The 12,589-nt window shown below is 43.0% G+C and overlaps 1 protein-coding gene across 10 annotated transcripts in view; it reads left to right on the top strand.

Annotated features, from left to right (window-relative positions):
* CTPS2 (CTP synthase 2) overlaps positions 1-12,589 on the top strand; it is a 124,912-nt gene that overhangs the window by 41,434 nt on the left and 70,889 nt on the right. For all 10 annotated transcript variants that reach the window (NM_019857.5, XM_006724503.4, XM_047442260.1 and 7 more), the window contains 3 exons: positions 803-897; positions 3,753-3,815; positions 3,920-3,963. In NM_019857.5, coding sequence (NP_062831.3) covers positions 803-897; positions 3,753-3,815; positions 3,920-3,963 — 202 coding nt within the window. The remainder of the gene's footprint in view (positions 1-802; positions 898-3,752; positions 3,816-3,919; positions 3,964-12,589) is intronic.

The raw sequence follows: 12,589 nt of genomic DNA, 5'->3' as shown, positions 1-12,589 counted from the left end.
TCAGTATTGTCCCTTCTGTGGTCGCTAGAAAGATGTTACCAGAAACGGGTCCCAATCCAGACCCCAAGAGAGGGTTCTTGGATCTTGCTCAAGAAAGAATTCAGGGTGAGTCCATAGAGTAAAGTGAAAGCAAGTTTATTAGGAAAGTAAGGACATAAAGAATAGCTGCTCCATTGACAGAGCAGCCCTTTCTCTCTTGATGATATTTTCCACATGTCTTAGATTTTAGGTTTTATTTTGTAAGTAATTGACAGAACTCTTGGGGGCAGCATTGCATCATGAGGTTAGCATGATCCTCCTGGGTTTTCTGTTGAACTGTGTTGCTGTTGTGTTTGCCTAGGTCTGTGAAGTCTTCTAGCCAAGAAATTTTCATTTGCCACTACTTAATTAGCATTTGAAATCTTAGGCTGATTTTTCCAATTTAACTCTTTCTGATGATGTCAGAGATCTTAACATTTTTATAATAGTGTTTTGAAAGAACCTTAACCTATTTTCATTCAGTTTCTTTTCCCAGTGGCATTCTTAATTGAATTGGGTTTCTCAGTTAGTATGCTCTGATGCCACAAAGACTTATCGTAAAATATATATTGAGGTCAGTTGTGAGAAATTGTCACAATTTCTTCATAACATTGGGAAGATTTCAGAAAAAAAGTTCAGGGTGTGAAGTCATATAATTGGTTCTGAAAATAGAGCTTGAGCATAGTCACTAGTGATTGGACCAAGCATTGCACGAATGGCTGAATACACTAGTTTAAAAAAAAAATGGATAGTCAAGTTTACCCTCATTTTGTATTGATTTCAGTGGTATTCTTGTGCCTGGAGGCTTTGGAATCAGAGGAACATTGGGAAAACTCCAGGCGATTTCTTGGGCAAGGACAAAGAAGATTCCTTTTCTGGGTAAAACTCATGTTTATTGACCCTAACTATGAGTTTATTAGATTTTTGACACCTAGGAGGGGTAACACTAAAGGTTTGTTATCGTAAAGGTGTGAACTCGGATTTGAAAGTTCAGGTGCCAAATAGTCTGCTATAGGGTCAACAAACTATATTCTAAATTTGGCCCACAGCCTGTTTTTATGAATAAAGCTTTATTGGAACACAGCCACACCAATTTGTTTACATATTGTCTATGGCTGCTTTTGTGGTCCAACGTCAGAGTTTCAGACCCTACGGCCTAGAAGCTTTACTATCTGAAAGAGGCTAGAATCTTTACTATGTGACCCTTTACAGAAAACGTTTCTCATCCTAGGAGAACTTGCTGCTATTCCAGCTGGGTAGCAGAGGCTGGGAGAAGGCTCCATCTGCAACTGTGCTTACCTTCTCCAATTCCCACCTCAGTCTCCAGAGTAGCTGGGACTACAGGTACACACCACTGTGCCTGGCTAATTTTTGTGTGTGTGTGTGTTTTTTTTTTTTTAAGAGATGGAGTCTTGCTATGTTGCCCAGCCTGGCCTCAAACTCCTGGGCTCAAGCAATCTGCCCACTTCAGACTCCCAAAGTGTGGGGATTACAGGCTTGAGCCCCCGTGCCCGGCCGAGTTGAGCCTTTTTAATGCTTTTTTTTCAAATTGCGAAGTACGGCTTCTGTACCAGGGAAACCAGAGGAAATGGGACCTTGATGCGGGAGAGGCAGCCCTGTAGCTGGGGACTCAGGCAGGAGGGGGAGTGCAGAGAGGCTGTGTTTCCCACTGTGCAGTGGATGGCTGGGTGGGTTTATGAGCCCATTGGACAGGCTTTTAGTGCCAGCAGACCATTTATTTCCCCCCATTACCTGCTCTTTGATTAGCTTCTTAGACTCTCTCCTCTTAGGATCCATTTTCAAAATAGAAGACTGGAGTAGTTACCTGGATACCTTGTTTTCTTTTACTGGTCTAAGCTCGTTGGGGGCCATTGTTTTTTTTTTTGAAGTTTCTGTCTAAATGTGGGTAATGTTCCTCAGATTATTTTAATAGTATGGAATGGTTTGCAGGTCTTTAGCTTTCCCTCTAGCATAGCATCTCTTTATGTCCCAGCCATATGGAACTTTCTGAAATCCCCCTCACCGCCACCCCCACCCCCCAGCACTCAGCTGTTTCCTGCTTATTGACTTCTGTTCTGGCATCCCTGATATATTGATTGCTCCCTTCTTTGTTTCCCCTGTGTACATCTTAAGTATCTATCGGAGGAGCATCTGGGATGCTCTTTGGCATTTGTTTAGTGGAGAGAATTGGTGAACTGCAGTGAAGGCGGAGCTGGGTCTGGGAGCATCCCTGTGGCAACAGGCTTGGGCGACACAGGTCTGCCTTCCTTCATCACCGAGCACTCTGTTCAGGCCCATCGTGTCTCCTTCCCTGCTGCCCACCATGCTCAAGCCCACTGTGGAGTCTCCAACCCCCACCCCCCACTGCTGCTTTTCCTTACAGTGAAGGCTATGGGGCTGCCTGTGGGTTAGCAGCCTGACGTCCTGTAGGCACTCAACCTCTGGCCAAGCCTGTGTTTATGGCTGTGAAGTCACCATGAGAAGGAGTGGGAAATCTTAGCCCAGGAAACTCCCTCTGAGTTGGGGTGTTAGATGTTCTCTGAAGGAATCAGGCACTGCAGCCCACTAAGATGCCTCAACTCAGGGACAAATCTAGAAGGTGGCAGATTTGTCTCATGGACTCTGCCTCTTTCTTTCCTTCTTTCCTTCCTTCCTTCCTTCCTTCCTTCCTTCCTTCCTTCCTTCCTTTCCTTCCTTCCTTCCTTCTTTCTTTCTTTCTCTCTTTCTCCCTTCCCTCCCTTCCCTCCCCTTCCTTTTCCTTCTCCTTCCTTCCTTCTTTCTTCCTTCTTCCTTCCTTCCTTCCTTCCATCCTTCCTTCTTCCCTTCTTCCTTCCTTCCCTCCTTCCTCTCTCTCTTTTTATTTTCTTTTTTTTTGAGACAGAGTCTCGCTCTGTCGCCCAGGCTGGAGTGCAGTGGCGCGATCTCTGCTCACTGTAAGCTCTGCCTCCCAGGTTCACGCCACTCCCCTGCCTCAGCCTCCCGAGTAGCTGGGACTACAGGCACCCACCACCATGCCTGGCTAATTTTTTTTTGTATTTTTTTTTTTTTAGTAGAGATGGGGTTTCACCATGTTAGCCAGGATGGTCTCGATCTCCTGACCTCGTGATCCGCCCAACTCAGCCTCCCAAAGCGCTGGGATTACAAGTGTGAGCCACCGCACCCAGCTCCTCCTTCCTCTCTTTCTCTCTTTCTTCTCTTTCTTTCCTTCCTTCTTTCTCACCCAGCCTGGAGCACAGTGGTGTGATCTCAGCTCACTGCAACCTCTGCCTCCCGGGCTCAAGTAATTCTCCTGCCTCAGCCTCCCAAGTAGCTGGGACTATAGGTGCATGCCACCACACCTGGCTAATTTTTGTATTTTTAGTAGAGGCTGGTTTCACCATGTTGGCCAGGCTGGTCTCGAACTCCTGACCTCAAGTAATCTGCTCACTTTGGCTTTCCAAAGTGCTGAGATTGCAGGCTTGAGCCATTGCGCCCAGTTGACCCTGCACTTTTCTGACCTCATGTTCCTTCTTTGTCAACTTTGGGACTTAGGCGGCTTCATGATAGTCTAAGCCCCTGCCCTGCTCTCTGTCAGGGATTCTTCTGAGAGGACAGCAGGGAGCAAAACAGGCAGAGTCTTGCTCTCTGGGAGTCTGCATTCTAGATAGGGGAGACAGGCAGCCAACAAATGAACAGAAAATGTGAACAAATACAAAGTGAGTTCATTTGCTTTGCATATGTGCTTTTTAAAATAGGAGTTTGTCTTGGGATGCAACTAGCAGTGATAGAGTTTGCAAGAAACTGCCTTAACTTGAAAGGTAAGTTCGAGGTTTGCTAATGACCATTTATTTAAAAAATTTTCTCTCTTCAAATATTTTTCAGCACTATTGGTGAATTACTGAACTCTTTTCTTAATCTTCAGATGCTGATTCCACAGAGTTTAGGCCAAATGCCCCAGTTCCTCTGGTAAGTGGCTTGTTTATCTTTCTGGGTCCAGTCATTGTCACTTGGGTCCTGGCTCTTGCCTAAATTCATAAGGGGCTATTGGCTGGGCGCCATGGCTCACCCCTGTAATCCCAGCACTTTGGGAGGTCAAGGCGGGCGGATCACTTGAGGTTAGGAGTTCAAGAGTAGCCTGGTCAACATGGTGAAACCCCTGTCTCTACTAAAAATACAAAAATTAGCTGGCTGTGGTGGCAGATGCGTGTAATATCAGCTACTCGGGAGGCTGAGGCAGGAGAATTGCTGGAACCCGGGAGGTGGAGGTTGCAGTGAGCCAAGATCATGCCACCGCACTCCAGCCTCAGTGACAGAGTGAGACTCCTTCTCAAAAAAAAAAAAAGGCGGGGGGGGGTCTATTATTATTTTTTCTTTACAGCACCAGAACATTTTAAATTACATTATTCTTATATTAAATTCCTTTGTTCTTGATAGTCCATCTTCTCAGCTATGCCTTAAAGACAGTCACAATCCTGGACTGATTTCTCTTTGTCGCAGCTTTCAAGCTTAATGTTTAGGAAAGGATTAAATCGGCTGTGACAACAATTTATAACATCTACTATAAATAAATGAGCTGTCCTGTCTCCAGACTCATCACCAGTCTGCCTATTTTCCACACTGGTGGTCATCTGTCTTTCTAAAACAAAAGCGACAGTGATTCTGCTGCCAGTCCTCATCTTCCATCAGTTTCTTTTCCCTTAAAATATTCAGTCCAGGATTCTGGGCTGGGTCCCAAAGCCACTGTGCTCTGTCACCTGCTGCTTTGCTGATTCATCCCATGGCATCCTGATTCCTCCCAGGCTTTGAGTTTTTTTCTTTTTTGTGTTTTTTTGAGGCAAGTTCTCACTCTGTCACACAGGCTGGAATGCAGTGGCATGATCACGGCTCACGGAAGCCTAGACCTCCCGGGGTCAAACAATCTTCCCACCTCATTTTTTGATTTTTTTTGTAGAGACAAGGTCTCACTATGTTGCCCAGGCTACATGCTTTGAGTTTTACGTTTGGACAATCTAAACTAGTTTTTCAGATACAGCCTGAGGTTCCCTATACCTGAGATGTCCACCTGCCTAAAATCCCTCTCCCCCTGGAATCTCAATAAAAGCATTGAAAAATTTAATTAACAACAACTCAGTTACCAACAACTTCCTATTCATCTGAGGAAACCTTTCCTGACCTCTTTTCTTTACCTGCCTCTGCCTTCTGCCTCATGCTACTGTGCTCACCACTAACAGAGCGAGTTCTGCAAGATGATGGTTGGCCTTCAGTCAGCCTGTTTGCCAGCCACCCATGCACACCCAGTCGTGTCCCTGCTGCTGGGCACCTACTTCTAATGGAGCTCGCGCCTCACAATCGCGATTGGTTTTTTAAACAGCTTTATTGAGATACAATTCATATACCACAAAATTTAGCCATTTAAACTGTATAATCCGGCCAGATGCGGTGGCTCACGCCTGTAATCCCAACACTTTGGGAGGCCTAGGCAGGTCAATCACTTGAGGTCAGGAGTTCGAGACTAGACTGGCCAACAAGTTGAAACCCCATCTCTACTAAAAATACAAAAAATTAGCTGGGCGTGCTGGTGCATGCTTGTAATCCCAGCTGCTAGGGAGGCTGACACAGGAAAATTGCTTGAACCCAGGAGGCGTTGGTTGCAGTGAGCTGAGATCGTGCCATTGCACTCCAGCCTGGGCAACAGAGTGAGACTTTGTCTCAAAAAACAAACAAACAAAAAACTGTATAATCCAATGGTTTTTAGCATATTCACGGATCTGTGCCACTCTCATTACAAGCAATTTTGGGCCATTTTCATTACTCCAAAAAGAAACCCCACACGCCTTAGCTGACACCCCCAAGCCTCCTATCTCCACCAGCCCCAGGCAACCATTAGTCTACCTTCTGTCTTCATAGATTTGCCTGTTTGAATCATTTAATATAAATGGAATCATCCAATATGTAGCCTTTTGTGACTGGTTGCTTTTACTTAGGATAATGTTTTCAAAGTCTGTCTATGTTGTAACACGTATCAGTACTTTGTTTCTTTTTATTGCTGATTAATATTTCATTATATGGACATGAAACATTTTATTTATCCATTGATGAACATCTGCATTGTTTCTACTTTTTGGCATTGTGACTAACGCTGCTGTGAACATTCATGTGCAAGTTTTTGTGTGGACATATGTTTTCATTTCACCAGGAGTGGAATTTCTGAGTCATATGGTAATTCTGTGTTTAACCCTTTGAGGAGCTGTAGGACTGTTTTCCAAAGTGGCTGCAACATTTTAATTTCCTGCCAGCAATGTATGAGGGTCCTAATTTGTCCATATCCTTGTGAACATTTGTTATTTCTGTCTTTTTGATGATAGCCATCCTAGTGGATGTGAAGTGGTGTCTCATCGTGGCTTTGATTTGCAGTTGCCTGATGGCTAAGGATGTTGAGCATCTTTTCATGTGTTTATTGGCCACTTGTATGTCTTCTCTGGAGAAAGGTCCATTCACATCCTTTGTCTATTTTAAAATTAGGGTATTTGTATTTTTATTATTGAGTTGTAACAGTTCTTTATATATTCTAGATATAAGTTCCTTATATATAATCTGTGCTATCGGCATTTGGGAACACATCATTCTTTGTTGTATGTGGGAGCTCCTGCCCACTAGGTGCCAGTATCACTCCCTAACCCCTGCCCAACTGTGACACTAAAAGTACCTCCAGATATTGTCAAATATCTCTTGGGGGCAGGGGCAGAATCGCCCTGGTTGAGAACCACTGATTTAGAGAAATCTAGTTCTATTTCTGTCCCCTGTAGCCTGTTTAATCCCTTCCCTTATGGCAAGCATTCATTCTTTTTTTTCTTGGTTCATCTTCCCATTTTTTACATATAAGTAAAGCTGTATGTCTTTGTCATCCACTTCCCTTCTTAGGGAAATGGTAGCATACTCTACACAGTTTTTTCCTGCCTTGCATTTTTCGCTTAACACTGTATGCTGGAGATCACCCCACGGAAGCACATAGAAGCATTCTTCACTCTTTTTTTTTATAGCTTGTAACTCAAACCATAATGAACCATAACTTACCAGCCAGATGGTACTTTTAAGTCTTATGCTCAGAAGGCCTAATACCAATGAAGGGTTCCTTATGAGCCTTTAATATAAACATATTTCCTGACTAATAGCTGAAATGGCTGTGCCAGGAAAACTATGGGTTTTCTTTTCTAAGATATACTTTGGGATAGGAAGTGATTTTACCAGTAGGTGCCACTGTTAGATAGTGTTGGCAAGGTTAATTCTTTGATGATTATTCTTTACTGGGGGTGTGTGTACGTGCGTTAAAAAATTTTTACACATGGCCGGGCGCAGTGGCTCATGCCTATAATCCCAGCACTTTGGGAGGCCAAGGCGGGCAGATCACAAGGTCAGGAGATCAAGACCATCCTGGCTAACATGGTGAAACTTTGTCTCTACTAAAAACATAAAGAAATTAGCTGGGCGTGGTGGCACGCGCCTGTAGTCCCAGCTACTCGGGAGGCTGAGGCAGGAGAATGGCGTGAACCCAGGAGGCAGAGCTTCCAGTGAGCCGAGATTGCACCACTGTACTCCAGCCTGGGTGACAAAGCAAGACTCTGCCTCAAAAAAAATGAAAAAAAATTTTTTTTTACACAGAGTAAAAAAGTTAAGCCCTGCAGAAAAAGGTACAGAACTGTCTCTCCTTTGCCCCCACCTCACTTCGGTTCCCTTCCCCAGTGGCAACTACTTTGATCCATTTCTTTCTTTCTTTTTTTCCTTTTTAAAGAGATGGGCTGTCTCACTATGTTGCCCAGGCTGGATATTCACAGGTGTGATCATAGCGCACTACAGCCTCGAACTCCTGAGCTCAAGTGATTTTCCCACCTCAACTTCCCAAGTAGCTGAAACTACAGGAGCTCAGCTGATGCATTTCTTTAGTTATTTCAGAGATTTGTGTGTGTGTTTTTGTGTGTGTATACCCACTTAGCCACACACATATGAATATGTATTGCGTTTAAAAAAAAGATCTTGGCTAGGTGCAGTGTCTCATGCCTGTAATCCCTGCACTTTTGGAGGCTGAGGCGGGAGGACTGCTTGAGTCTTGGAGTTTGAGAGCAGCCTGGGCAACATAGTTACACCTTGCCTCTACAATAAATAAATAAAATTACCTGGGCATGGTGGCATGCACCTATAGTCCTAGCTACTCGGGAGGCTGAGGGGGAGGATCACTTGAGCCCCAGGGGTTGAGCTGCAGTGAGCTGTGATCACGCCGCTGCATTCCAGCCTGGGTGACAGAGCGAGACCCTGTCTCAAAACAAAACCAAACAAAACAACTTTGTAGCATGCTCCAGACACTGTTCCCACCTTGCTTTATATACTGATCATTCCACATCAATGTGCAGGGATGTCTTCGGTGTGCTTGCTCTGCTGTATGCTATATGGCTGCATCCTTATTTATTTAACCAGTCTCATATTTAGTTTGTGTCCATTATTTTGCTGCTTTAATTTATGCTGCAAATTAGTATCCATGTACATATATCCTTGCACCCACGCGCGAACACATCTGCAGGGATAGATTCCTAGAAGGGGAGTTGCTAAGTCAGAGGATGTGTGCATTTTACATTTTGATGGCTCCTATACACATAAGTGAGATGAGAACAATAAAAGCTAATTGCTATTGAACGTCTTTATGGCCTGCAATGTTTGTTGGAGAAAAATAGCCTTAAGAGCTAGCACTTGTATCGATGTGAGAAGTCTTATTAAAAAAAAAAAAAAAAAGACTAAGGAGATAGAATCATAAGGCAGCAAGCACCATGAAGCCTGCAGAGTTACTTAAGCTTGAGCAAATAACAGTTACTTTGTGGGGACTGGTCATTCTGGCTGTTCTAGCTAGGAAAGTAAACAGTTTGGAAACCAGGAGCCTTCTATAGGGAATATTTACTCCTAAGATCTCTTCATAGGTCATCATGACCCTCCTTTGGCATGCATGATTAGTGCTATGGCTGTTGATGAAATCAATAGAGACACTGGCATCCAGAACAGTTCCAAGAGAAAGTGTCTGTTATACACATAAAAAGAGAAACAGATTTTTCCCTAAGGGTTAAGGTAGACTCTTTCTGCGTCTCAGAGTGCCCAGGAGAGAATGAGTAAAATTTATTTTATTGTGTCATTTCTCTGCTTAATCCACAAGGTGAAATTGAAGGCTCTGGGACTTTGCAGAATACTTAGGGTTCTATAGCAACTCTGGTTTTTTGCCCTGCTTCAAAGTAGTCTCAGCTGCCTTCTAGATGGTACATAACCAAGAGCGTAGCTGTTGCTGACTTACATTCTAACCCTATATCAATCACATGGCTGCTGCTGACATCCTTGACCTTGAATTTGGCTTCAGATCTCTCCAGTACATCTGTAGTGTAGTTCACAGCACTTTGGACTTTATATTTTGAATATTTTCAGCTTTTGAGGCATATATATATATATATATATGAATGAACAATCTCAATCTAATGTGTAGGCATGTGAATGTGCTTAACTCTAAGCATTTCTTTTCTGTTTGTTGAAAAAGGTAACTAAAAATTCTAAATTTACATAAGATATTACACCCTGAAGACAGAATTCATGTTCCACCTTCAAAAGACATCAGCACACACATGCACACTTGGATGGTGGTATGGGAAAGGAACAGGGAGAAATTCAAAGCATTTTAACGAGATGCAAATGGATATTTGAGATTTTGGTATTTGATATTATTTCAGTTTTCATTATTTATCATAGGTATGACGTCATTTATCCCTTTTTGATCCAGGAATTTTCAGGGTTAAGTGAATTTTACATCTACCATAGTAGATTTGTGAAACAGTCACATAATTAAAAGCTGATTTGGGTGAAAGTTGATTTTTGTTATACATGAAGTATAATTGATTAATGCATAACATTTTCCTGCCTTTAGTTGAAGCCCTGTTTAAAATATTTTCCTCATCTGTATTATTTTTCAACAACTTCATATGGAGTGCAAATTAAGAGGTGTTGAAAACAAACCAGATGGCCCACTTAGAATTATCTTTTAGGCAATTTTGATTACTTTGAGGATTTTCTTGCATTTAGAGTGTTGAAGTAAGCATCTCCTGACTATTACAAAGATCATATAGAAATCACTTGGAGGTTAGTTAGGGCTAAAAATCCTTTTTCCCATAAAAGTAGTCATTAGGAATACAGCTATAGGCCGGGTGTGGTGGCTCACACCTGTAATCCCAGCACTTTGGGAGGCTGAGGCCGGTGGATCGCCTGAGGTCAGGAGTTTGAGACCAGCCTGGCCAACGTAGTGAAACCCCGTCTCTACTAAAAATACAAAAAATTAGCTGAGCGTGGTAGTGGGTGCCTGTAATCCCAGCTACTGGGAGGCTGAGGCAGGAGAATCACTTGAACCTGGGAGGTGGAGGTTGCAGTGAGCCAAGATCGCGCCATTGCACTCCAGCCTGGGCAACAAGAGCGAAACTCTGTCTCAAAAAAAAAAAAAAATGCAGCTATAATATGGGTTAAATAGCTTTTTACAGACCACTCTGGGAGCCTAATACTCCTTTGATACTGTCTCTGTGGGGATAGTAGGTTTAGAGTTGACATCAGACTGTTGGCTGAGGTAACTTTTTTCTACTCAGAGAAAGAAAAGTTCTTGCCTGGGCACGGTGGCTCACACCTGTAATCTAAGCACTTTGGGCAGCCAAGGTGAGAGGATTGCTTAAGCCCAGGAGTTCAAGACCAGCCTAGTCAACATGGTGATACCTCGTGTCTACAAAAAAATAAAAAAGTAATCCTGGCACTTTGGGAGGCTGAGGCAGGTGGATCACGAGGTCAGGAGATTGAGACCATCCTGGCCAACTTGGTGAAATCCTGTCTCTACTAAAAACAAAAAAATTAGCTGCGCATGGTGGCACGTGCCTGTAGTCCCAGCTACTCAGGAGGCTGAGGCAGGGGAATCGCTTGAACCTGGGAGGTGGAGGTTGCAGTGAGCTGAGATTGCGTCACTGCACTCCAGCCTGGTGACAGAGCAAGACTGTCTCAAAAAATAATAAATAAATAATAAAAAATAAATTAAAAAGTTAGCTGGGTGTGGTGGTGTGTACCTGTAGTCCCAGCTCCTCAGGATGCTGAGATGGGAGGATCACCTGAGCCTGAGGAGGTCGAGGCTACAGTGAGCCATGATCATGCCACTCCACTCCAGCCTGGGTGACAGAGTGAGACCCTGTCTAAAAAAAGAAAGAAAGAAAGAAAGAAAAATTCTCCTGAAAGGGAACCCTTGCACACTCTTGGTGGGAATCTAAATTGGCATTACTATTACGGAAAATAGTGTGGAGGTGCCTCAAAAAATTAAAAATAGAACTACCATATGATCCACTTATCCCACTACTGGGTATATATCCAAAAGATATGAAATTATTGTGTTCAAGAGGTATCTGCACTCATGTTTGTTGCAGCATTATTCATAGTAGCCAAGATACAGAATCAACCTAAGTGTTCACTGATAGATGAATAGATAAAGAAAATGGAAAATGTGGGGTGTGTGGGAGAAATGGGGAGATGTTGGTCAAAGGGCACAAACTTGCAGTTATAAGATGAGTAAGTTCTGGAGATCTAATGTACAGCATGGGGACCATAGTTAATAATACTGTAATCCCAGCACTTCGGGAGGCTGAAATTTGCTTAGAGAGTGGATCTTCATTGCTCTCATCACACACACACAACAGTAACTACGTGAAGTGATGAATATGTTAGCTTGCTCGTGGTAATCATTCCACAGTGTATACAGAGATGAAAACATCTTGTTGTACACCTTGAATATATACAATTTTTTTTTTTTGTCATTCTGTGACTCCTACACCTTCTTACTCCCTTTGTGACCTTGGGTGGACTCAGCATGGTGACCAAAGACTTTCATGATCTGAAGTGGGTGTGCCCTCTTCATTCCTCATACTTGACATTCCACCCCAAACATGGTGTACACATTCTTTAAACAGCCTTGCATTTGGGCATGATGTGTTTGCTTGGGCTGTTTTCTCTCTTTCTGAATGCCCACTGCTGCCCCTTTCCTGCATGCTCCCCTCAAGGTTCTTTCTACAGAGCCCAGTTGAAATGCTACTTTTTTGATGAATCCTTCCCCTGACCTGGTCCCAAACTTACTGACTTAGAATCTCAGAGGTCTGGAAATTTGTGTCTCTCATGGCATCTTGTATAGTGCCTTGCCCATAATAAGTACTTTATATATGTTGGAGTTGAAATAGATAATGTATATTAACTCTGCGAGGGGCTAATTGATACCTAGAATGAACATAGGCTAAAATGAGAAGCTAGCATGAGCTAGATATCAGAACTGAACAAAACACACACCACAAATAATAAAAACTCAAACCATAGACTAACGTTGGTTGGGAATGAAGATATGAAAAATCTCAAATAAAATATTCGAACATCCAATTTAACAGCATTAAAGAATGATCATGACTGAGTAGTGTGTTTATCCTGGGAATTAAATTAACACATTATATTGATTGAACAAAAGAGAGAGACTGTGTAGCGCCATACATGCTCAACATCGAAA

The sequence above is a fragment of the Homo sapiens genome, chromosome X (assembly GCF_000001405.40).
Source record: "Homo sapiens chromosome X, GRCh38.p14 Primary Assembly".
NCBI lineage: Eukaryota > Metazoa > Chordata > Mammalia > Primates > Hominidae > Homo > Homo sapiens.
The sequence above is the reverse complement of the archived record's forward strand: the minus strand, read 5'-3'. Positions and strand labels throughout refer to the sequence as shown.